The sequence below is a fragment of the Homo sapiens genome, chromosome X, assembly GCF_000001405.40.
Source record: "Homo sapiens chromosome X, GRCh38.p14 Primary Assembly".
In the NCBI taxonomy this organism is placed as follows: domain Eukaryota; kingdom Metazoa; phylum Chordata; class Mammalia; order Primates; family Hominidae; genus Homo; species Homo sapiens.
Genome location: NC_000023.11, coordinates 16,930,267 through 16,956,821, shown reverse-complemented (window position 1 = coordinate 16,956,821; position 26,555 = coordinate 16,930,267). Strand labels below are relative to the sequence as shown.

Here is a 26,555-nt window from a genome sequence, read left to right as displayed (position 1 = left end):
AGTAGTAAATAAAACAGGCCCCACAAGCAGCTGGCACTGGCTCCAGAGGGCCTTGTCCTTCCTCCTTTGCAGTGAAGCACAGCTGAGAGGGCCAGATAAAACGGTCAGGAGCAGAGCTCAGAGCCGGGACTGCAGGAACTGTCCCTGGTGAGGTCTCAGAGGAAACAGCTGAGCATCCATTCACTCTGAGCTTCCTGCAGGACAGACTGGAGGAGGAGGGACCACAGCAGCCTGAGGGAATCTCACTCCTGACCATGGACTTGCCAGCAGCATTGCTGTCATTTGACCGAAAGCAGTGAACCCTGTTGCCTAGGCAACATGGCAAAATCCCGTTTCTACAAAAAATACAAAAATTAGCTGGGTGTGGTGGCATGCACGTGTAGTCCCAGCTACTTGGGAGGCTGAGATGGAAGGATCATTTGGGCCCAGGAGGCACAGGTTGCAGTGAACCAAAATTGTGAGATTGCACTCCAGCCTGGGTGACAGAGCAAGACCCTGTCTCAAAAAAAAAAAAAAAAAAAAAAAAAAAAAAAAAAACTGCTGTGGTTTTTTGCTTACATGCATAATAGAAGGAAGTGCTCAATTTCAGTTGGGGGAAGGGCAGTTAGTAAAAAAAAAAAAAAAGATGTAGTTCTTTTCCACATCTAAATTCACAGACCCCTGAACTAACCCAGGCTGAGAAGGCCTGCTTTAGAGCACTGCGTGCAGGAGTAGCCAGGCAGGGCATTTGCATCTGCTTTTCCACTTTTTTTTCCTGCCTCCTACTAGTTAAGAGGAAAAACAATTGCCTAAAGACTAAAATTGAAAATACCTAAGAAGTTACATATTTGCCAGTTCTACTTAGGATGAATTACGCATGAAAATGTTTCTTAAAAAGATAAAGGAATTCTAAATTAGTGGCTGAGCAAAACATATGTATATTCTGGCCACAAAAAGGCTCAACAGAATAATTTTCTACTTCAGACAAATCCTGGAAAGCAAGTGTGGTGGAAAGATCCTAAGGTGTCCCCCGCAAAATTCTCACCTCCTGGTCTCTGTTGTTTTGTATAATCCCCTCCCCTTGAGAGCAGACAAAACCTGTGACTTGCTTCTAACTAATGGACTATGGCAAAGGTGTCTGAGCTAACTGGAGAGAGACACTCTCCTGCTGGCCTTGAAGAAGCCAAGAGCCATGTTGTGAATTGCCTATGGAGAAGGCCATGTGGAGGGAACTGCAGGAAGCCTCGAAGTTGAGAGCCTCAGTTCTAAAATCACAAGGAACTGAATTCTGCAACCAAGTGTTGGACCTCCACAGAGGACTCCAAGCTCCAGACACCTTGATTGTGGCTTTATGAAACTCTGAGCTGAGGACCCAACTGAGCCATGTCCAGACTCCCGAACCCACAGAAACTGGGAGATAATAACTGTGTGCTGCTTTAAGCTGCTAAGTTTGTGGTAATTCATTATAGAGCAATAGATAACTAATGCAGCAACCAAGAGAGGGGGTGACCATCCCAGTTTGCCTAGGACTGTCTGAAGACTGAAGTTCCATGCCCCCAGGAAATCCTTCAGTCCTGCGCAACCCAGGTTGATTAGTTGCCCACCAACAGATAGGTATGAATAATAGAATGCCATCAATACAAAACATGAGAAACTTGCCTATACGAAACAAACAGAAAGTTTGAAAAACCCTGGAAAGGAACCAAACCCTCTTTTTAAAGTTATAAATAGGCCAGGCGCGGTGGCTCACACCTGTAATCCCAGCACTTTGGGAGGCCAGGGTGGGCAGATCACCTGAGGTCAGGAGTTCAAGACCAGCCTAGTCAACATGGCGAAACCCCATCTCTACTAAAAAATATAAAAATTAGCCAGGCATGGTGGTGGGCGCCTGTAGTCCCAGCTACTCAGAAGGCTGAGGCAGGGAGAACTGCTTGAACCTGGGAGGCGGAGGTTGCAGTGAGCCGACCTTGCGCCACTGCACTTCAGCCCGGGCGACAGAGCAAGACTCTGTCTCAAAAAAAAAAAAAAAAAAAAAAAGTTATAAATAATTAGCAAAAACAACCCAAGATTTCCTCAAAACCAATTGTCTACACCCTTAAAATAGGACAGCCCCTACTTAGGAGTGTGAAGCTAGAACAATATTCAAATCCATCTTGTATTCCTGGTCTTCAGTTGGTTACTTTTTCAATCTCCCTACAGGTTTCCCAACTATTCTAAATCAGTTCTCAAGCACGTCTATCTCCATGACAGCCAAAGGCTTGACAGTATTGAACCATCATCAGTCTTGCCATTTGACCATAGGCCACAGGTACCTTTTCTGGCCAACCTAAACCCCTGCATGTTTCCATTTCCTTCTGCCCACCCTGGTTCCTTCCTTAAAGATAAGCCCTATGAACCATATGATGTTTGCGACTTGCTTCAGGATAACAAAGGTGAGAGGGAACAAAGATAGAAATGTAGATGGAATTGAATTAACCTTGCATTGACAGTTGTTGGGCCTGAGTGGCAAGTGCAGCAGGGTTTAATGCATTATTCTATCTACTTGCTTATTTGAGATGTTCCATTTTTAAAAAGATGAAAAATGGCAGGGTGTGGTGGCTCACACCTGTAATCCCAACACTTTGGGAGGCTGAGGCGGGAGATCACTTGAGCCCAAGAGTTTGAGACCAGGCTGGGCAACATAATGAGACACCATCTCCACAACAAATTTTTAAAAAGAAAATTAGCCAGGCTTGGTGCTGCACACCTGTATTCCCAGCTACTCGGGAGCCTGAGGCAGGAAGATTGCTTGAGCCCAGGAGGTTGAGGGTACAGTGAGTCATGATCAGATTGCTGCATTCCAGTCTGGGTGACACAGCAAGACCCTGTCTCAAAAAAATAAAAGATGAGAAAAAAAGAAAGCCCATGAAAGTCAATTAATTAGCTCAAACATCCCCTAGCACGCTCAAGAATATAAGTGTGCATTCTGCTATCTATGAAGGTGTTCTTAATTTTCATACACGTTTCGAACAGTCCCCCAGTCATGTGACATTCTATATAAATAAGGAAAAATGCCACCTACTTCCTTTTGGCATAAGGGTCTCTACCGCACTGTAACAATGAGTCATTGTAAACGTAAGTAGTAAAGATTTTTTAAAAGGAAACATAAATGAACTGAAATTACATGTGTCAACAAGATGAATTCCAAAAACAAAACAATGAGAGGAAAAGCAAGTTGCAGAAGGTTACACAGAATACGATATTCCTTAAGTTGAAAAGACATCCAAAATAATATCTTTTTTAGTGATTTATATATACACAAATATATATATCCACATATACATACAATAAAAGTAGAAAGAAATCTTCAAATCATGCACACCAAATTCAGGACTCTGGTAACTCCAGGGTAGGGAGGGAGGGGAATGGGACCAGAGAAGGGGACATAGCAGGCTTTCACTCTAGCTGGGCTGTTTTACTTATACGGAGTGGTGGATACACAGTTATTTCTTGGGTAACTGTCTAGTTTTACATGCCTGAAATATTTTATTACAAAAGAGTCAACAAGTAACTATTATGCAGAGGTACTCCTTTTAACCAGGCAATGGTTTAGCTCTGGTACTTCCTACATCTGCTGGCATTCATTCTCTTTTAGAAAAAAAGAATACTGTCAATCTAAAACAGCATATAGTTAGTCCTAGTTACTGGTTTGTGTGTTTGTGTGTGTGTGTGTGTGTGTGTGTGTGTGTGTGTGTGTGTGTGTTTGTTTTTTGGTTTGTTTGTTTTTGAGACAGAGTTTCACTCTTGTCTCCCAGGCTGGAGTGCAATGGCCTGATCTCAGCTCACTGCAACCTTCGCCTCTCCGGTTCAAGCAATTCTCCTGCTAATTTTTGTATTTTTAGTAGAGATGGGGTTTCGCTATGTTGGCCAGGCTGGTTTCAAACTCCTGACCTCAGCTGATCTGCCCGCCTCGGCCTCCCAAAGTGCTAGGATTACAGGCAATGAGCCACCCTGCCCAGCCCCTAGTTACTGTTTTAATATGCTGGCCTCTATTTCCCTAAAGTATAGTTACAAAATGATATGATCTAAAGATGTAAAAATATAAAGTTGTTTCATTTAAATTTTTAAAAAATAGTTCTGCCTAATAATCTAGCAATGAGCGAAAGTTCACAAGAATTTGTCTTTTACCTATAATTTTCTTTAATGATTAAACAGTTGCTTCAAAAAATCAGAAGAGAGCCTTCAGAAAAGACTTCTCCCCAAAGGTGAGGGCATGCGCACAAATTGTTTAAATATTCCCTACTTCTCACAGCTTTGTTTTACTTATTTACCTCAATGAAAGCTGTTTAAACAATCAGACAACACTTATTGGGTTTTTTTTAATCATTCAGTGATTTCCCTTGATATGGAAGCAACAGTGTTTTATAATTATTCCCCTTAATGTCCAAGAATTAACTATCACAAAAATGAAAACCAACATGGATGAAGCCGGAAACCATCATTCTCAGCAAACTAACACAGGAACAGAAAACCAAACACCGCATGTTCTCACTCATAAGTGGGAGCTGAACAATGAGAAAACATGGACACAGGGAGGGAAACATCACACACCGGGGCCTATTCAGGGGTGCAGGGCTAGGGGAGAGATAGCATTAGGAGAAATACCTAATGTAGATGATGGGTTGATGGGTGCAGCAAATCACCATGGCACATATATATACCTATGTAACAAAACTGCACGTTCTCCAAGTGTATCCCAGAACTAAAGTATAATTTAAAAAATTAATACAGATGAGATCTGGAGCATATGTGTATAATTACATAAGTCATGTATGTTTTACATGAGCATAGAAAATGTAAAAAGATATGCACAAAATTGACTTTTTTATATACTCTTCTGTTACTTGGCTTTGAAAAAATAATGTTCCCATTTTTGAATTTTAAAAGAAAACTCCAATAAGATGTGTATATGTTAAAAAAATTTTTTTAATGAAAACCAATTTTAATGATGACTCATGCACAGCATTCCAAGAGACTGACACTATCCTAAAAGATAGATATTATAAAGCGGTCTGTTAATTCATTACATCAAATACAAAACTTGCTGCTTTAAGGTAGATATTTTATTTATTTACTTATTTATTTTATGAGACAGGGTCTGGCTCTTTCACCCAGGCTGGAGTGCAGTGGTGTCATAATGGCTCATTGCAGCCTCAAACTCCTGGGCTCAAGGGATCCTCCCACCTCAGCCTCCAGAATAGCTGGGACTACAGGCATGCCCCAGAGAGAGGTAGGTAGCGGGGGTGTGTGTGTGTGTGTGTGTGTGTGTGTGTGTGTGTGTGTGTGTGTGTGTGTGTGTGTGTAGATGGGGTTTTGCCATCTTGCCCAGGCTAGTCTAGAACTCCTGGGCTCAAGTAATCCTCCGACCTCAGACTCCCAAAGTGCTGGGATTTATAGGCGTGAGCCACTGGGCCTGGCCATAGCCTATTTTGAAAGGTCTTTTGGTCTCTTTATAGAGTATTTATTTCCCTGTGCTGACTTATTTTAAGAGCAGGATTCTAGCACTAGGTGGAAAATGGCAGAATGGGATACTTTTAAACTAGAAAAAGAAAATATGTCTACGAACAGGTAAATGGTTTTGTTTAGTATTTCAAGACAGAGCAACAAACGTTAGAGTAGTTGGTTTCCCAGGTTATGAAGTATTTTGTTGGTATTCAAAGGCCAGAATTTTACTAGAAGGCATAGTGTGTGGTAAGAATCAGGTCTGGGTTTGACATGTATTTGGTTTGGGTTTGACAGGCTTATTTTACTTTATTTTGATACAGGGTTTTGCTCTGTTGCCTACGCTGGAGAGCAATGGTGCGATCATAGTTCACTATAACCTTGAACTCCTGGGCTCAAGCAATTCTCCTGCCTCAGCCTCCAGAGTAGCTAGGACTACAAGCGCATGCCACCATGCCCGGCTATTTTATTTTGTGTAGAGACAGGGTCTCACTATGTTACCCAGGCTGATCTCAAAGTCCTGGCCTCAAGCAATCCTCCCATCCTTGGTCTCCCAAAGCACTGGGACTACAGGCGTGCGCCACAGCACCAGGCTGACATTTTATTTTTGGATGTTATATTTCAAGTCTTTTCTCAACCAAATAAAAACTCTGAAGTGTAAAAACATTCACATGAGAACATAAGCTCCATGAAGACAGAGATTGTGTTGGATTCACTATTATAACCTCAGCACCTAGGACAGTACCTGACACACATCAGAAACTCATATACGTTTTCCACCTAGTGCTAGAATCCTGCTGTTAAAATAAGTCAGCAAAGGAAAATAAATACTCTGTAAAGAAACCAATGCATTGCTGATGGGAACGCAAAATGGTACAATCACTTTGGAAAGCAGTTTGGCAGTTTCTTATAAAACTAAATATACTCTCACCATACAATCTAGCAATCATGCCCCTTGCTATTTACCCAAATGAGTCAAAAGCTTATCTCCTGCATGTAACAAAAAAGGCTGCATACAGATGTTTATAACAGCTTTATCCATAATTGCCCAAACTTGGAAGCAACCAAGATATCCTTCAGTAGGTGAATAAATAAATTGTAGTACATGCAGACAATGGAATATTATTCAGCACTATAAAGAAATGAGCCACCAAACCATAAAAAGACATGAAGGAATTTTAAGTGCATAGTACTACATGAAAGAAGCCAAAGTGAAAAGCCTATATACTGTATGACTCCAACTATATGACATTCTAAAAAAGGCAAAACTATGGGGACAGTAAAAAAAAAAAAAAAATCAGTGATTGCCACATGTTAGTGGAGAGGGAGGGATGAATCAATAGAGCACAGATTTTTAGAGCAGTGAAACTATTCTGTATGATACTACAATGGTGGAACCGTCATTATACATTTGTCCAAACCCACAGAATGTACAACACCAAGAGTGAGCCCTAATATATAGACTTTGGGGAATAATGAGGTGTCAATGTAGGTTCATCAATTGTAAAAACTCTATTATTCTGATGTGGGACGTTGAGAGTAAGGAAAGCTACGGGTGTGTCGGGGCAGGGGATATATGGGTACTCTGCTAAATTTTGCTGTGAACCTAAAACTGCTCTGAAAAAAAAAAATAGTCTATTAAAAAATATGTTAAGGCCAGGCATGGTGGCTCACGCCTGTAATCCCAGCACTTTGGGAGGCTGAGGCGGGTGGATCACCTGAAGTCAGGAGTTCGAGACCAGCCTGGCCAACATGGCAAAACGCCGTCTCTACTAAAAATGCAAAAATTAGCCGGGAGAGGTGGCGTGCGCCTGTAGTCCCAGCTACTCAGGAGGCTGAGGCGGAAGAATCGCTTGAACCCGGGAGGCAGAGGTTGCAGTGAGCCAAGATCACGCCACCGCACTCCAGCCTGGGCAACAGAACGAGACTCCATCTCAAAAAATAAATAAATAAAAAATAAGTATTTTTATAGACCATTTACTTGTGGTAAGAATGCAAGATTCTCACTCTTCCTGGAACATTATTATGGTAATCTTAATTGTATGCTTATTAAGAGGAAAACCTGGTTGTTACCATAGAAAATATCAGGACTGGTTAGTGCCTCCAAGATTTGAGCAGTTATACCTGTTGGGGCACTTAAATCTCAACTTACAGGTTCCTGTTTAACAGAGAAAGGGTAAAAACATCTACGTTTGTTTTAAAGAATGGCTAATACACTGATGGGGTAATGCAAATTAAAGTGGATGGAGCATACACACACCACCACCACCACCACCACCACCACCACCACCAAAGTGATGGGTGAAAATTAGGTGTCTGCTGGTTGCTGACTTTGTTTGACTCTCTTAGGATCACATGTCCAGGATGCCTTCAATGTTCATTTTCACCTGTACCAAGAATATTGAGTTATGGTAATTTTGTTGGATTAAAGGTGGATGATGTGTTTTGCTTTGCTAGGCTGAATAAGGGAGCTTCGAGCTCTGAGAGATTTACTCCAAGCAATCTCGCAGGGATGTCCCCTTTTGCCAGTATCTGAAGCAGTCTTTTGCAAGCAGATTTCAACTGGACATCAAAAATATAATCTCATTCACGCACAGCCACTGTGCCTTGGGTCCTTTTAAAACTATATGTACCTCAAGAAAGCATGGGTTCTAACATCAGGAAATCCTTCTTCCCAATTCCTAAAGAGGCATCAACCAACATATTCAGATTTACTATGCCCACCTCCTCTTATCCGATGCATTACTGACAACAAAATAAGCCTTAATAGGTACCCAGCTGTCACTTACTTGCTGCATAGCCTCAGTCAATTATTCCTCTTTCAGCTGGGAAGCAGCTACAGCACTGAATAAATGTATTATGCTCGGGACTATTCTGAGGGCCTCATGTAATAGCCACGGTTTGTGTTTTAAGACACTGACTTTCTCTTTACCTGATCCAGCTCAACTACTCATCAGCAATGGCAGAACTGTCTACATATCAAGGACTTCTTTAGGGATAAACAGCCATGCTAAGTTCTGTGAATACTAGTTACAGTTTCAGAAATCCCAAATTCAAAAGGGTGAAAGATTACAAAGTGTCTAAAGTTATGCTCACAAACATATAGCAGTAAAAACACTCCAGCAGTATAAAACGCAGTCTTAAGCAATTTTTTTAAAAATACGTATGAACACAATGACATTGCAAGTGAACCATAAAACCCTCAGTTCTCCTTTGAAACTAGATTTTAAAATACCACTCGCCACTCTAAATATTCCATTGGTGTTAATAACATTCATACTATTGCTTTTAGGAAAAGCTTCATTTCACGTTTTGAACCTGATATTAACAGTCTTATCACCATGAAGTGCTGGTGACATGAAATGACAGACAAAGGCTTATCAAGTAGTCTTTCTCCAAGCTCCAAGGAAAGCACAAAACAAAAACAGCGTCTGGTATGTATCATCCCCTAGTACTTTTCCAAGTATAGAACAGCCAAAAGGTGGTAGCTATGACATCCCTTACCTTTCAATTCTATTTCAAGTCCAAGTAATGATAGATGGGAAACTACAGCTGTTTCCCATGGTGGACTTCTGAAGTCCACCTCTAATCTCAAATGGGAAATTTGGTTTTGACTTGACAAACGTCCTCTTGCAGTCCCGTGTCCCTGTTCTGCAACTTGTCATTAAGGTTTTCGATTTAATATTAATATTTAGAAATATGTTATGGGCAATTACATATAGTAGATACTTATATATTACAACTACATAGAGAGGACAACATTCAGCCCTGGGCCTCGAACCCTACGGACACACACACCCTTCAAGTTGAAATCCCAGCAAGGCACCCTGAGAACCCACTCAGGAGAGGGAGGGGCAGGAGCAGCGAGCAGAGGTTAAACCAGGCAGCAGCCAAAACAAACACCACTTCCAGAACAGGACAAACTTTGGGTCTGGGCGGCTGCAGAACCCCAGAAATGGCCGGGGGAGGGGAGAGAGTGTCAGACTGTCTCAGGGAAGGAAGATGGGGAGAGCGCACCCAGCACTGGGCGAGGAGCTGAGCTGCGAAGGAGGCTGGTGTCCCCCGGGGACAAGGGCGTCGCCGCCATCCCCGGCTGCAGAGTCCTCTCTCTCAGAACTGGCCGAGGCCTCCGGGTCCCTGGGGGCAGCCCTGTCGCCCCACTCGCAACCTCCGCCCCCGCACACACTGCCCCACAGACCCGCAGGGACAGGAGGCGGAGGGACCCACCTGGTGCAGCGTCTCGGCGGGCAGCTGCGATGCCCGAAACAGGTCAGCCACGGGGCCGGCGGCCGCAGTGGCCGTGCCGGGGGCGACTCTGGCGGCCTCGGGGGGCCCAGACCCGGGGCCCCCGCCCGCGGCGCCGGCACAGCGCGCGAAGAGCTCGGAGTAGCACTGCTGCTCGCCCTCGCTCAGCAGCAGCGGCGGCGGCCCGGAGCCACAGCCCCCGCCCGCCGCTGCCGCTGCCGCTGCCGCCGCCGCCGCCGCCGCTGCCGCCTCCATGGGGCCAGCAAGGGGGCGCGGCGGAGCCCTGTCCCTAGCTGGGGTGCTGCTGCGTCCGCCACAGCCACCGCCTCCTCGGCCTCAGCTGCCGCCGCCGCCGCCGCCGCCACCACCGCCGCCGCCACCACCACCCCCACGCCCCGCAGCTGCCGCGCGGCCGCTTCCTCCCGGCGCGCGCCGGCCCCACCCCCGGGCTTGAATGTTGTGCCTCAGCTGCGCGGCACATGGAGACAGGCGCGGCGCGGCCCAATCACAGCCTGAGATGTCACCCCGGCCCCGCCCCCGCCTCCCGCTTGCCCCGCCCAGCGCCAGGTAACTAACCCAGCGCGCCGCACGCCCTCCGCCCGTCACAGGCTCCGGTGCCCAGGAAGGCGGGCCCCGTGCCTTTCCAAGCCTACCCTGCAAGGGAGCGGAGCCTTTGGCCATCCGCCCTGGTTGGGAAGGGGGCATCTAGACCCAACTGGAGAGAAGCTCTTTTCGGGGAGCGGGGAAGGTTGTGTTGTTTTCTTGCTAGAAGGCTGGGGCAGGTGTGGTGCCCACACCACGCCATGCCCTTTCCAGAAAGGGACAAGGCATGGGAAATTAGGTTTCCTTTCTTCCATAGCAGTACTGCTTATGTCCTAAAGAGCCGGAAGACGCAGACGTCTGTACAAACAGGGTCCCACTGACCCCAGAGTGTTCAGGGTGGTATTGGAGTTAGGCCCCCTCGTCAGACATGGCTCAAACCAGGAGTTGAGACTTTATAAGGAATAACATCGGTTACTCGTAAATACTAGAGTAGTAAGAGTACAAAAAGACCCATTTTGCAGATCATTTCGTCCAAACCCTGCTTTTACAGATGAGGAAACTGCCATGTTCACCTTCATTCCTCCAAAACCAGTTGAATATCTCGTATGTAGCAGATTTATATGCTAGGGCCTGAAAATACAAACCTCAGTAACAGAGGATCCTCACTCTCCAAAGGAAGCACTTATTTTAGTAGTAAAACAGGCATTTTTTTTAGTACAAAACTTGTTCAAGCTCACACCAAAAATCAATGCGAAACCCCACATTTTTCCACCCCGGTCCATGTCCTCCTCTCTCTCTCCATTCCTCCCTATCCTAAAGCATACACACTATATTTTTCAAATGTGCTTGCTTCCCCCTGGCTAGTACTCTAACCACTTTTTTTTTTTTTTTTTTTTTTTGAGAAGGAGTTTCGCTCTTGTTGCCCAGGCTGTAGTTCAATGGCACAGTCTTGGCTCACTGCAACCTCCACCTCCCGGGTTCGAGCGATTATCCTGCCTCAGCCTCCCGAGTAGCTGGAATTACAGGCGCCTGCCACCACTCCTGGCTAATTTTTGTATTTTTAGTAGAGACGGGGTTTCACCATGTTTGTCAGGCTGGTCTCGAACTCCTGACCTCAGGTGATCCACCCCACCCCCACCCCCCCACCTCGGCCTCCCAAAGTGCTGGGATTACAGGCTTGAGCCACCACGCCTGGCCCTCTAGCCGCTTTTAAAAGAAAGTCCAGGCCGGGCGCGGTGGGTCATGCCTGTAATCCCAGCACTTTGGGAGGCCAAGGCAGGCAGATCACTTGAGTCCTGGAGTTCGAGACCAGCCTGGCCAACGTGGTGAAATCCCATCTCTACTAAAAATACAAAAACTAGCTGGGCCATGGTGGTGAGTGCCTGCAGTCCCAGCTACTTGGGAGGCTGAGGCAGGAGAATCACTTGAACCCAAGAGACAGAGGTTGCAGTGAGCCAAGATCACACCACTGCACTCCAGCCTGGGCAACAGAGCAAGACTCTGTCTCAAAGAGAGAGAGAGAAAGAGAGACCAGAAAAGAAGCCACTGGAAAAAAAGTCTGTCCCACCATTGCACTGGAAGTTCCAGCATCAGGCCCACATATCTGCATCTCTTTTCCAAAAATTCTCTTTTTAAATGTCATTTTTCCTGGGAAGACCTGCAGAAATATATGCATGAAGCCTCACTGGGAAACAATAACCCAAAAGAAAACATCAGTCTAGGGTTAAGCACTAATAAAAAATATATTTTACTACAAAGAAAACTACAAAACATTGATTTAAAAAATTGAAGAGGACACAAAAACATGGAAAGGCATCCCATGCTCATGGATTGGAAGAATTAATATTATTAAAATGACCATACTACCCAAAGAAATCTACAGATTCACTGTGATCCCTATCAAAATACCAATGACATTGTTCACAAAAATAGAAAAAACAATCCTAAAAATTGTATAAAACCACAAAAGACCCTGAATAGCCAAAGCAATCCTGAGCAAAAAGAACAAAGCTGGAGGCATCACACTACCTGACTTCAAAATATACTACAAAGCTATAGTAACCAAAACAGCATGGTACTGACATGAAAAGAGACACATAAACCAATAGAACAGACTGGAGAACCCAGAAATAAACCCACACATTTACAGCCAACTGACTTCCAACAAACCACCAAGGAAATACATTGGGAAAGGACAGTCTTTCCAATAAATGGTGCTGGGAAAACCAGATATCCATATGCAGAAGAATAAAACTAGACCTTTATGTCTCTCTCACCTATACAAAAATCAACTGAAGATGTATTAAAGACTTAATCATAAGACCTAAAACTGTAAAACTACTGGAAGAAAACATTGGGGAAATGCTTCAGGACATTGGTCTGGACAAGGATTTTATGGCTAAGACCTTGAAAGCACAGGCCAAAAAAACAAAAATAAGCAAATGGAAATATATTAAACTAAAAGGCTTCTGCACACCAAAGGAAACATTAACAGTATGAAGAGATAACCTGAAGAATGGGAGAAAATATTTGCAAACTATTCATCCAACAAGAGACTGATATCCAGCATATAGAAGGAACTCAACTCAACAGCAAAAAAATAATAATAATCCCATTAAAAAGTGGGCAAAGGATCTGCATAAACATTTCTCAAAAGAATACATACAGATGGCCAACAGGTATATGAAAACATGCTCAACATCATTTATCATCAGGAAAATGCAAATCAAAACTACAGTGAGATATCATCTCACTCCATATATAAGAGAAAAGGAAAGTCTTTTACACTGTTGAGAATACGATTAGTACTGCCCTTATAGAAAACAGTATGGACGTTTCTCAAAAAACTAAAAACAAAACTACTATGTGATCCAGCAATCCCACTACTGGGCATTTATTCAAAGGAAAGTAAATCAGTAATCAAAGAGATACCTGCACCTCCATGTTTATTGCAGCACTATTCACAATAGCCAAGATATGGATCAACCTAAGTGTCCCTCAATAGTGCATGGATAAAGAAAATGTGTTATATATACACAATGGAATACTATTCAGCCATAAAAAAGAATGAAATCCTGTCATTTGCAGCAACGTGGATGGACCTGAAGGTCATTGTGTTAAGTGAAATAAGCCAGACACAGAAAGACAAATATCACATGTTCTCACTCATATGGGAGAGCTGAAAAAGTTGATCTCATGGAGGTAGAGCAATAGTTATCAGAACCTGGGAAAGGTGGGCTGGGGGACGAAGGGAGGTTAGCTAATGGATACAAAAATACAGTTAGAAGGAGTAAAATCTAGTGTTTGATAGCAAAGTAAGGTGAGTATAATTAACAGTTTATTGTGTATTTCTTTTTTCTTGAGACATGGTCTCAATCTGTCACCCAGGCTGGAGTGCAGTGGTGCAATCACGGCTCACTGCAGCCTCGACCTCCTGGGCTCCAGCAATTCTCCTACCTCAGCCTCCTGAGTAGCTAGGACTATAGGCGTGCACCACCATGCCCAGCTAATTTGTGTATTTTTTATAGAGACAAGGTCTCGCTATGTTGCCCAGGCTAGCCCACTCCTAGGGCTCAAGTGATCCACCTGCCTCAGCGTCCTAAAGTGCTAGGATTACAGGCATGAGCCACCATGCCCAGCCTATTGTACATTTCAAAATACCTAGAAGATTTGAAATGTTCCGAGCACAAAGAAATAATAAATGTTTGAGATTATGGATATGCCAGTTATTCTGGTTTGATCATTACACATTGTATACATGTACCAAAATATCACATATACCCCGTAAATATGTACAATTATTATGTATCAATAAAAAAATTAATACATTTTATAATTTGCTTTAATAAAGGGATATATAAAACTTACACCCCAAATAGTTTTATTTTTATTAAAAACAGAGACAAAAAACATCTCAAGAAATACCACTGACGATAACAAATATACTTTGGTATTATGGTCAACTAAAGGACCAAGGTCAGGAAGAGAGGAGAAGGGGAAAAAATCATGAAATTGTAAATACAAAAAGAAGGAAAGGAAAGGGGGAGAGAGTGAAGAGAGATACATAAGAAGAAGAAAAATAAAAAATGATGTCAACCTCAGTGATAACCAGAGTAATATTTTCCTTTTGGAATCTGGAAAAATGGAACAGAGAAGAGGATCTTCTCCAGAAGGAAGAAGTTCTCACCTCTTCACTAAGCTTTCTTTACACCACGTCTTGCATCCAACCTGCCAGGAGGGAACTAAAACAACAGAAAGCTTCGGAATGGAACAAGAGTGCAGAAAGGATATGTAAATTAGGAGCAATAAAGACTAACTTCACTTGGGAATTTCCATTTCAAAATCTCACCACCTGGCCAGGCGTGGTAGCTCATGCATGCAATCCTATCACTTTGGGAGGCTGAGGCAGGAGGATCACTTGAGCCCAGGAGTTCCGGACCAGCCTGAGCAACATAATGAGACCCTGCTTCTATTTAAAATTTAAAAAGAAAAAAAGAATTTAAAAAAGGAAAGAAGGCCACGCATGGTGGCTCATGCCTGTAATCCCAGAACTTTGGGAGGCCAAGATGGGAAGATCACTTGAGGCCAAGAGTTTAAGACCAGCCTGGCCAACATGGCAAAACCCTGTCTCTACTAAAAATACAAAAATTAGCTGGGCGTGATGGCTCATACCTGTAATCCCAGCTACTCGGGAGGCTGAGGCACAAGAATCTCTTGGACCTGGGAGGCGGAAGTTGCAGTGAGCTGAGTTCGTGCCACTGCACTCCCGCCTGGATAACAGAGCGAAACTGTCTTAAAAAAAAAGAAGAAGAAGAAGAAAAGAAAAGAAATTTCACCACCTTTGTAGTTTCCATAGCTGTGATACCTTCTCAGGAAAACTGGAAGCCAGATGTTTATTCTCTTCCTACCTTTCTGGTTGTACTCAGGTTTCCCTGAGAATGGCCAACCATTCTAATAAAGGCTAGAAAGGGACACACTCTGTGTGATAAACACCAAACCCTACTTTACCCTGTGACTACTGTCAAAGGAAATGTGAGCTATAATAATCCCTAATCTTCATGCAGTAGAGGAAAAAAGCTGCAAAGCTTTTCAAAGCACTTTTGTAACTATTATCTCATTTAAGCCTCATAGTAACTCTCTGAGGTAGATTGGGAAGACATTTTTAATCTCCATTTTGCAGATGAGAAAATGGATGCAGAGACAGTGTGATTTGTCCCACTGAATACCAGATTCAGAACTGATCTTTATGACTCAACTAAGTATAATAAATTTGACAGATATTTATTAAGCACCAGATATGACGGAGACAGGTAGAAAGTCTCACATCTGTGCCTATCAATCTATCAGTGAGACAATTGACATTTATTGATAGAAAAGAGAGTATTTACTGTATCCCTACCAGAGTACTAAGAGGAATTTTTCTTTAATAGAAGATGTGTTGCTTTCAAGGAGTTTGAAGCCTCACTGGAAGAGACAAAACTAACACAACAAATAAAAATAAATGAAAGAAAATATACAATTAAGTGCTAAACTGTATACTCTGGGTTAACTGCCATGGGAGTTGAAACAAGAGAGAAAATTCATGAGCCAGAGCTCAGCCAGGAAGGCTTGATCAGTGGGGCTGAGATGGCTGTTGACTGAGAGTGGGTGGAACTGGGGAGGTAAAAGGACACGACAGAAAGAGAGGAGCCCCAGAGACTTGGCAACCTGGAAATAATGAGTGAGGGACAGCAGGCTGGGTCAGAAGAAAGGGAAGCTCTGAAGGTCTCCAGGATGTAAGAAAGAAGCTGCTCAACAAAAGATGTGGGGCACAGCCAAAGGGGACCCAACAGCAGTAATACCCAGGGCACAGGAGGAAAAAAAAATGGCACTTGTAAAAATATGTTAATATCTAAGGAATGCCAAGTACTGTTCTTTATTTCTAAAAGTTTTTTCAATAGAAGAAATAGTTATCAAACTTCAAAATAAACACAGATAAGAATTTAGAAACTAGAAGCACTCATATCCCTTAAGGCTGACAGTAAACAAGAACTTTTTTGTGGTTCAAAGCTTACACACTTGTTTTGGCTCCATGATGGCCAGAAAAGCCAGAAGGATCATATTTTCAGAAATAGCCAAGAGACATCAAGAGATATTCTTTTTTATTGTTTCTCATGGAATCCAATTATTCCCATTGCAGAGATATTCTTTACATTATGTTTTTTTTGTTTGGTTTTTTTTTTTTTTTCCAGAAAATTGGTACTTAGGAGTGGAGCATTGCTATAAAGATACCTGAAAATGTGAAAGTGACCTTGGAACTGGGTAACGTGCAGAGATTGGAAAAGTGTGGAGGGCTCAGAAGAAGACAGGAAGATGTGGGAAAGTTTGGAACTTCCTAGAGACTGACTGAATGGTTATGACTAAAATGCTAATAGTGATATGGACAATGAAGGCCAGGCTGATGAGGTCTCAGATGGAAATAAGGAACTTACTGGGAACTGGAGCAAAGGCTACTCTTGTTACATTTTGGCAAAGAGCTTTGTTGTATTGTGCCCCTGCCCTAGGGATCTGTGGAACTTTGAACTTGAGAGAGATGATTTAGGGTATCTGGCAGAAGACATTTCTAAGGTTCAAGATATGGCCTGGCTGCTTCTAACAGCCTATGTTCATATATGTGAGCAAAGAAATGACCTGAAACTGGAACTTACATTTAAAAGGGAAGCGGAGTGTAAAAGTTTGAAAAATTTGCAGCCTGGCCATGTGGTAGAAAAGAAAAGCCCATTTTCAGGGGAGGAATTAAAGCAGGCTGCAGAAATTTGCATACGTAAAAAGGAGCCAAGTGCTAACACCTAAGACAATGGGGAGAAGGCCTCAAAGGAATTTCAGAGACCCTCATTGCAGCCTCTCCCATCACAGACCCAGAGGCCTAGGAAGGAAGAAAGGTTTCCTGAGCCAGGCCTAGGGCCCTGCCACCCTGTGCACCCTTGGGCCATTGCTTCCTGCATCCAAGCTGCTCTTGCTCCAGCCCTGGCTCAAAGGGGCCCAGGTACAGCTCAGACCACTGCTTCAGAGGGTAGAAGCCACAAGCCTTGGCTGCTTCCACCTCGTGTTAAGCCTACAGGTGTGCAGAGTGCAAGGGTTGAGGCTTGGGAGCCTCCACCTAGATTTCAGAGGATGTATGGAAAAGCCTGGATTCCAGGCAGAAGACTGCTGCAGAGGCAGAGCCCTCATGGAGAACCTCTACTAGGGCAGTGCAGAGTGGGAAATGTGGGGTTGAAGCCCCCACACAGAATCCCCACTGGGGCACTGCTTAGTGGAGCTGTAAGAAGAGGGTCACCATCCTCCAGACCCCAGAATGGTAGATCCACCAACAGCTTGCACCCTGCACCTGGAAGAGGCACAAGCACTCAATGCCAGCCCATGAGAGCTGTCATGGGGGCTGAACCCTGCAAAGCCACAGGGGTGGAGCTACCCAAAGCCTTAGGAGCCCACCTCTTGCACCAGTGTGTCCTGGATACAAGACGTGGTGTCAAAGGAGATTAGTTTGGAGCTTTAAGATTTAATGACTGCCCTGCTGGGTTTCAAACTTGCATGAGGCCTGTAGCCCCTTTCTTTTGTCCAATTTCTTTTTTTTTGAATGGGTATATTTTCCCAATACCTATCTCTCCATTGTGTCTCAGAAGTAACTAACTTGTTTTTTATTTTACAGGCTCATAGGTAGAAGGGACTAGCCTTGCCTCAAATGAGACTTTGAACATTGGACTTTTGAGTTAATGCTGGAATGAATTAAGATTTTCAGGGACTATTCAGAAGGCATGATGGGATTTTGCAAGGTGAGAAGGACATCAGATTTAGGATGTGCTAGGGGCAAAATGATATGGTTTGGCTCTGTGTCCCCATCCAAATCTCATGCTCAATTATAATCCTCAGTGTTGGAAGTGGGGCCTGGTGGGAGATGATTGGATCATGGGGGTGGATCCTTCATGAATGGTTTAGCCCCTTCCACTCGTTGCTGTTCTCACGATGGTGAGTGAGTTCTCATGAGATCTGGTGGTTTAAAAGTGTGTGGCACCTCCCCACAACCCCTCTCAGTCCTGCTTCTGCCATGTAAGATGCCTGCTCCCACTTTGTCTTCCACAATGAGTAAAAGCTCCATGAGGCCTTCCCAGAAGAGATGCTGCCCGTACAGCCTGCAAAACCATGAGCCTATTAAACCTCTTTTCTTTATAAATTACCCAGTCTCAGGCATTTCTTTACAGCAGTGTGAGAATTGACTAATACAATCATGCTGTGCTTGCAGGTTTGTAGTCTAGGATCAATAGGCTGTACCATATAGCTGTCAACTTAAATGTCAGAGAGAGGCTCTCTAAAAGAAAATGATGTTTATGGCCAGGCACGGTGGCTCATGCCTGCAATGCTAGTGCTTTGGGAGGCCAACGTGGGTGGATCATTTGAGCCCAGGAGTTGACGACCAGCCTGGGCAGCATGGCAAAGCCCTGTCTCTACAAAAAAATACAAAAATTAGCTGGGTGTGGGGCATTGTGTCGTGCACCTGTAGTCCTAGCTACTTGGGAACCTGAGGTGGGAGGATCACTTGAGCCCAGGATGCTGAGGCTGCAGTAAGTCGTGATTGTACCACTGCACTCAGCCTGAGCAACAGAGGGAGACTCTGTCTAAAGAAAAAAAAAAAAGAAGAAGAAAAAAGAAAAGAAAATGTTGTTCATGTGGGAATAGGGCATTGCAATGGGAATATGTATGCCACAGTAAACTTGTGCATATTCGTGGAGGTAAAGGAAGACAAAAATTTTTCAAGGAAAAATGAAGGTTACATAGTTGTTTTGAAATGGTTATTTTTGGTGACAAGGATCAATAACAAGGATGGCACCAGTTCAAGTTTAGACAGGCAGTTGCTGGTCAGATGTCTTTACAGAAGGTTGTGATGACATTTGTGTAAGTTTGCAGTTTTTGCAGTCTTTTGTTGCAATTTTGTTATCAGGCATACAAGTGTGAGAACCCTCTCTTCGTAGCCTTCCTCAGCTCTATTTGTCAGGTTTTTGTGTGTTTTTTTTTAACACAAGCGACTCCATTTTGATTCTGACAATTTTCACATAGCCTAGGTGTGTAGTAGGCTGTACCATCTAGATTTGTGTAAGTACACCCTGTGATGTTCACACAACAACGAAGACACCCAACAACGTGTTTCTCAGAACATACCCGTCATTGGGTAACGCATGACTGTACTATTGAGTGTATCTCAAAGATTGGTGAATTTTGAAAGGTATTTATTAAGGGATGGACCAATATAAACACTAAATAATCACCTGTTTGAATGATTTTAATATTTTTTTCTGCTATTAGTGAAAAAAGGCAGATCTTTAACAGTGTGAGAGAGAATCCTATTCCCCTGGCCTCATTATTTTCATGAGAAAGCTTCCTCTCTACTCCTCAGGAAGGAATATTGATGAAGTAACATTGGCACTTCTCCTAGTCCCCCTCACTCTTCTCTAAGGAAAGAGAAGTGATGAAAGGGAGAAGAAATTGATCATTCTTGGTTCATTCTCTCTCTCTCTGTCTCTCTCCCCCTCTCTTTTCCTCCATGATATGGTTTGTCTGTGTCCCCACCCAAATCTCATCTTGAATTCTAGCTCCCATAATTCCCACGTGTCATGGGAGGGACCTGGTGGGGGGTAATTGAATTATGGGGGTGAGTCTTTCCCATGCTCTTCTCATGATAGTGATTAAGTCTCATGAGATCTGATGGTTTTATAAAGAGCAGTTCCCCTACACAAGCTCTCTTGCCTGCTGCCACGTAAGACGTGCCTATGCTCCTCCTTCAACTTCTGCCATGATTGTGAGGCCTCCCCAGCCATGTGAAACTGTGAGTCAATTAAACCTCTTTCCTTTATGAATTATCCAGTCTCAGGTATGTCTTTATTAGCAGTGTGAGAACAGGCTAATATTCTTTCTCTCTCTCTCTCTGTCTCTTTCTTTCTCTCTCTCCTACCTCCCTCTCCTACTACCACCTCTGAATTCTGTTGCCCTCAGAGGGGACTCCACTCTACCCCCACTCTAACCCCGATTCCATCTAGAAAGCACACGTAATTTGGGTCCTCTCTGTTACCACCTGCAGGACTTGATGATTAGAAGACAGCAATTTCCTAGCAGCTTCCCAGGTATAGGTCTGTTTTATAGACTCTGAGGTGGGGGAAGTAAGGGGATAGAATATGTAAGAAGTAGCCTGAGTGTGGCTGCAATCCTAATCATCATCTCCAACCCAAGTCTAGCAACAACAAGGTTGATGTGCACATGGACCTTACCCAGGTAGTTCTAAACTCATCAAGAAAGACAGGGGTTAAAGTTCTTGAACCCTTATGTGCCCCACAAACCACTAATGACAATTAAATCTTTTTTTGTTTGTTTTTTGAGACAGAGTCTCACTCTGTCACCCAGGCTGGAGTGCCGTGGCATGATCTCGGCTCACTGCAACCTCTGCCACCCAGGTTCAAGCAATTCTCCTGCCTCAGCCTCCCGAGTAGCTGAGATTACAGGCACCCGCCACAGCGCCCAGCTAATTTTTGTATTTTTGATAGAGACAGAGTTTCACCATGTTGGTCAGACTGGTCTTGAACTCCTGACCTCATGATCCACCTGCCTCAGCCTCCCAAAGTGCTGGGATTACATGGGTGAGCCACTGCACCCGACCAACAATTAAATCTTACAAGTTACTGTCTCAGCCTGGCATGGTGACCTGTAATCCCAGCACTTTGGGAGGCCAAGGCCGATGGATTGCTTGAGCCCAGGAGTTCGAGACCAGCCTGGGCAACATAGCGAGTTCTCATCTTTATAAAAACTACAAAAATTAGCGAGGCATGGTGGTGTGCTCCTGTAGTCCCAACTACTTGGGAGGCTGAGGTGGGAAGATCACTTGAGCCTGGGAGGTCAAGGCTACAGTGAGCTGAGATGGCACCACTGCACTCCAGCCTGGGTGACAGAGCAAGACCCTGTCTAAAAAAAACAAACAAACAAATGACTGTCTACCATAAAACCAGCTTGGAATTTTGGTGAAGTTATATCTTACACCCACCCTTGTGTGTATGTGTGTGTGTGCATGTGTGTGTGTACGTGTACCCATGCAGATGTGTGATCATGTGCCCTCTTTCTTCCTATACCAACTGTGTCCTCTGAAGCCCAACAAACTGAGAAGGTGGCTGCTCTCAAGTAACAAAGAATTGTTCCCAGCAGCCCTGCTGCCCTCTTATGTAAAGTATCAGACAGTTCACCCCTCTCCGTGGAATTAAGCCTTTGGTATCCCTGGGAATGGCTGAGCAGAAATGTTAAAAGCTTTCCGTGCACTGGTAAAGCCCAATGGTTAAGTCAGACAAACTGGAGCCAAGAGTTCTCACTACTTGTTAACCTTGGGAAAGCAGCTTCCTGCTTTGTTTCCCAGAACAGGGTTTTGGATAATTATTATCGCGACCACATCTTTTCATTGTGCTTTTAAAAATTGCCCATAATACTCAAATTTATCATTAGAGCTTTATTTTTAGAGCTTTTTTTATTTTTTAAAAGACTAAGAAAGAATTTTTCAGTTATTCAGCATTTTAGTCGTCATAGAGTTGAGAGCAAGGATTATAATTGATGAAATTGACAGAATTCTGAAAATCAAATTTTCCAAAGCTGGTTATGTTTCTGAAAAATGGAATGTTCAAATGAGTCAGGGTAGGCTAACTGCTGTAACAATCCCCAAATGTCAGTGGGTTAACATAATGCCGGTTTATTTCCTGCTCATGTCACCCCTGTAGAAAGGGTGGTTTTAGTCATATTCATCCAGGGACACCATCTACTGGCTCCTCCAGCCCCTAGGTCCTCAAAGTCCTCCACTAGATCTTCTGCATCTAGTGGTTAGAAAAAGAAAGCAAGTGGGAACTCAGAAGAGCTGGAAAGATGGGGGTTTATGTGGGGGTCAGGCTCAGAGGTGGCACAAATCACCTCTCTGCTTTCCATTGGTTGGAAATCAGTCATATGGCAAATAAGGCTAGGAAATATCATCAAACTGTGTACCCAAGAAGTGAGGAGTTTGGGGAATATCTGGCCAGACTCTGCCATAATGACTGTGAGAAAATTTCAGACCTAGGGTAGGCCTGTTGGTTTACTGCCAAGATTCCCTTCACCAGATGATGGACATACCAGTGAGTGCTGTCTGCTAATGGTTCACAGCTGCTCCCTTCTTTGGACACTACCCTCAGCCAAACTAGTCACTTCAGGGAGGTTACACCTCCATCACCTCCCATGAAACAGCCCACAGGCAAGGACTGGCTGACTCCCTTAAAAGGCCAGCTCCTTGACTCAAAGTGGGACCGACTCTGGTTCTGATCATGCTCCGGAGTGGCCCGTGGGCTCAGGCTAAGGGAAGTCTCCAGCAGAGACCACTTCCTTGCCTAGCTCCCTCTCCAGCCCCATCCTGCTTCCCTCACACCCCTTCTTCTGAGAGTGCCTCCCCATCAAGGCACCAACACAAAAAACCCCCATCTCAGTTTCTGCTCCCAAATAATCCAACCTGAGCCAGGATTTTATATCAGAGAGTAATACGATCCATATCTCACAAAAAAACATGTGCAGCACAAGCCAACCTGTAAATATTTAAGTGCTTTCAGTACAGTCTATATAGCATTATGCTTAATAAACAAAGACTGCTATCCCAGCACTGCGAACAGGATCCTTTTACTGTAAATATAGATGGTGGTCTCATTCTTCATTTTTGTTTCCTACCCTCTTCTACTTTGACCAAGTTGATGTGGCTACTGAGTCAGCTGGGATTCAATTCTCTGCCTTGTAAGGCCACAGATGCATTTATCACTTTCTTGGGGGTGTCACAACTCACAGGAGAGTGCAGGTACATAAATCACAATTTCAGTTAACTGATTTACATCAACAGTGATTCCTGCTCTGTGAACTATAACTCTAGTACACATAGCTTTCCTCTTGTTGCTACACAAGTTCTCTCTGGAGATAAATTTTAAATAAGAAAACTGCTTTGGCAAGTGACATTGGTGTAAAGAAAAAAGAAAAAGAAAACTGCTTCTTAATACAGAACCATAGAAACAAACAAAGGAACTAAATGAGGACGAGGACGATGAGGCCAGTACACCCTTTTTCACAGTTAAGGGTATTTCCAAGTAGCGTTTTGAAGACAAAGAGCATATCTTACTCATCTGATACTTGATAAATAATTGTTGATTTACGTTCTTCCAAAACGACATATGCACTCACATGTTCATCGCAGCACTACTCACAATAGCAAAGACATGGAATCAACCTCAGTGCCCATCAATGGTGGATTGGGTAAAGAAAAAGTGGTACATATATACCATGAAATACTATGCAGCCATTATAAAGAATGAAATCATGTCCCCTGCAGCAACATGGATGAAGCTGGAGGCCATCATCCTGAGTGAATTAACACAGAAACAGAAAACCAAATATCACATGTTCTCACTTATAAGTGGGAGCTAAATCTTGGTACACATGAACATAAAGATGGGAACAACAGACACTAGGAACTCCAAAAGGAGGGGGAATCAAGGGTTGAAAAACTATCTATTGGGTACTATGTTCACTATCTGGGCGATGGGATCAACAGAAGCCCAAACCTCAGCTTCATGCAACATACCCTTGCAACAAACCTGCACGTGTACCCCCTGAAATTAAAATAGAAACTTAAATTTTTTTAATGATGTCAATTTAAATCAAGGGAGGAATCAGAATTACCTGGAAAGTACTAGAAACACAGTGGTAAACTACCCTTCCGAGATTTCCTTTCTTAAGAGGTTTATGTTTTCCTTTGCAACTAAATTCCCTCCTAGTTTAAACCTACTTTCATGACATGATTTCATTCCCAACTTCATGTCTTATTTCACATTTTTACTCTCATTTATTTAATTATCTTCTCTAGGAGTTCCAGACAGTCACTGAAAACTTAAATTTTAGTTTAGCTGCTTCCTGATGACTTCTGAACAAGTACTATAATCTCATGAATAACAGTTTCCAAAGTGACAATGTAGATTTGGTTGTGTCTTGGAAATGTCCCCCTCTTCATCTACTCTAATTTACATATTATAGCAGAATCTGGTGGAAAAGATTAATTTCATATTCAGGCAGCTGTCCAAGCAGTATGAGTTCAAGGTGCCTAAGATATGGAATTGTATTAGTCATTTCTTGCTGCATAACAGCAGCTTGAACGACAAACATTTATTATCTGTTTCTGAGGTTCAGGAATTCAGGAGTGACTTAGCTGGGTGGCTCTGTTACTGGAAAGGGGTCCCTACCAGACCCCAAGCAAGGGTTCTTGGATCTTGTGCAAAAAAGCATTTGGGGCAAATCTGTAAAGTGAAAGCAAGTTTATTAGAGAAGTAAAGAGACAAAAGAATGACTACTTCATAGGCAGAGCAGTGGCATGCGCTGCTTGACTGAGTATACTTATGGTTATTTCTTGATATATGCTAAACAAGGGGTAGATTATTCATAAGTTTTCCAAGAAAGGAGTGGGGAGTTCCCACTCCTGCTGTCCTCCCCCACCACTGCAACTAAGGGTTCCTCCCCCTTTTAGACCGTATAGGGTAGTTTCCAGATGTTGCCATGGCATTTATAAACTGTTATGGCACTGGTGGGAGTGTCTTTTAGCATGTTAATGTATTATAATTAACATATAAGCAGTGAGGATGACCAGAGGTCACTTTCATCACCATCTTAGTTTTGGCAGGTTTTGGCCGGCTTCTTTACTGCATCCTGTTTTATCAGCAGGGTCTTTGTGACCTGTATCTTGTGCCTACCTCCTGTCTCATCCTGTGACTTAGAATGCCTAACCTCCTGTGAATGCAGCCCAACAGGTCTCAGCCTTATTTTACCCAGCCCCTATTCAAGATGGAGTCGATCTGGCTCAAATGCCTCTGACAGCTTGGGCTCAGGGTCTCTCAGGAGTCTGCAATCAAGCTGTTGACCAGGGATGTAGTTATCTAAAGTCCTGATTGAGGCTGAAGGAGCTATTTTCAAGACAGTTAACTCACACGGATATTGGCAGGAGGCCTCAGTTCCTTCTTATGTGGGCCTCTCCACAGGGTGCCTGAGTGGCCTCATGACATGACAGCTGGCTTCCAAACCCAGAGCTAGTGATCTAAGAGAAAATGCTTCTGCAACCATATTGCCTTTACGACCTAGTCTCAGAGGTGACACATGAAGAAATTTTATGGGTACATTTTAAACCATAACACTGGTTCCTAACTTCTCTCTTGTTCCTCAGAGTCTCTCTCAAATTTGCAAAGTGCTTTTTAATATTATTTTGGGGTCAAATTAATGTCAATTTATTCATAAACTTAGAACACACAGGATTTTAAAAAATTCATGAGCATTATTTTATTTTATTAACTTTTTGCAGTAATTTGAGATTCACAGAAATTTGCAAAAATAATCCAAAGAACTCCTGTATACGTTTAACCCAGAATTTCCAAATGTTACCACATTTGCTTTATCAACAAACATTTATTATTTTTTTTTCTCTCTCTCTCTCACTCTCTCTCTACAGTTGAAGTGAGTGACTGAGGCATAAGTCTTAATTATCTAAGTTTATTAAGCCACTTTAGAGTGCTTCTGGGAAAAACACAAGCCACAGACACATCGGCTGCTGTTTTTCTGCAGTTTTCAGGTTTTGTGTTTTTACATTTCCTTAAAGGGAGGACAGGTGTGTAGGAACGGGGCAGGTAGGCAGTTAGGCAAATACTATATTTCATATAAAATGAAGTGAATGTCTGAAAAGAGAAAGGGAGTAAAGGAAGAGTCAATTATGCAGACATCTCTGGGTAGGAGGAGGAATGAGCCTTGTCTTTGTTCTGCACCTGGGAAGATAAGCTTGTGATGACATTATCAGTGCAGAATGGAACAGACTAGTTTTATGAGGTAGACCTAAAGTTACCATTGGCATGTCCTTGTTTCTGGAAGGTCAGCAAAGAATTTACTCATGAATAATCTGTGGAGGCCGTCCTTCACAGATACGTGAGGCCTTTTACCTCTCCACGGGGATCTGACTGCTGCGTTAATGTTAGTAACAGCTATTCATTTGGAAGAGAGTGTTGCAATGACCTTTCCTGTTGCACAAGAAATCTAGAGGATCCTGAGATTTTTTAAATTCGCCTTTCCACGTTCCATCTATTTTCTTTTCCTGAGTCATTTGAGAATAAGTTGCAGACATAATACCCTTTCTACCCCTGAGTACTTCAGTGTACATTTCCTAAACACAAGAATATTCTCTTGTATAACGACAATACGATTATCAAAAT

The 26,555-nt window shown here is 43.3% G+C and overlaps 1 protein-coding gene across 17 annotated transcripts in view, besides 1 other annotated feature; it reads right to left on the bottom strand.

The window, feature by feature from the left end:
- The window catches only part of REPS2 (RALBP1 associated Eps domain containing 2), a 249,998-nt gene extending 239,834 nt beyond the window's left edge, over positions 1 to 10,164 (bottom strand). For all 17 annotated transcript variants that reach the window (XM_017029956.3, XM_011545603.3, XM_011545606.3 and 14 more), the window contains exon 1: positions 9,688 to 10,164. In XM_017029956.3, the coding sequence (XP_016885445.1) occupies positions 9,688 to 9,960 (273 nt within the window). In that variant the 5' untranslated portion in view covers positions 9,961 to 10,164. The remainder of the gene's footprint in view (positions 1 to 9,687) is intronic.
- Positions 26,041 to 26,345: a transcriptional cis regulatory region, noted in NCBI's record as "candidate enhancer chrX.345 targeted for multiplex CRISPR interference". NCBI's record gives its function as "positively regulates REPS2 gene expression with high confidence in K562 cells {active_cell/tissue: K562}" and the evidence as "EXISTENCE:mutant phenotype evidence [ECO:0000015][PMID:30612741]".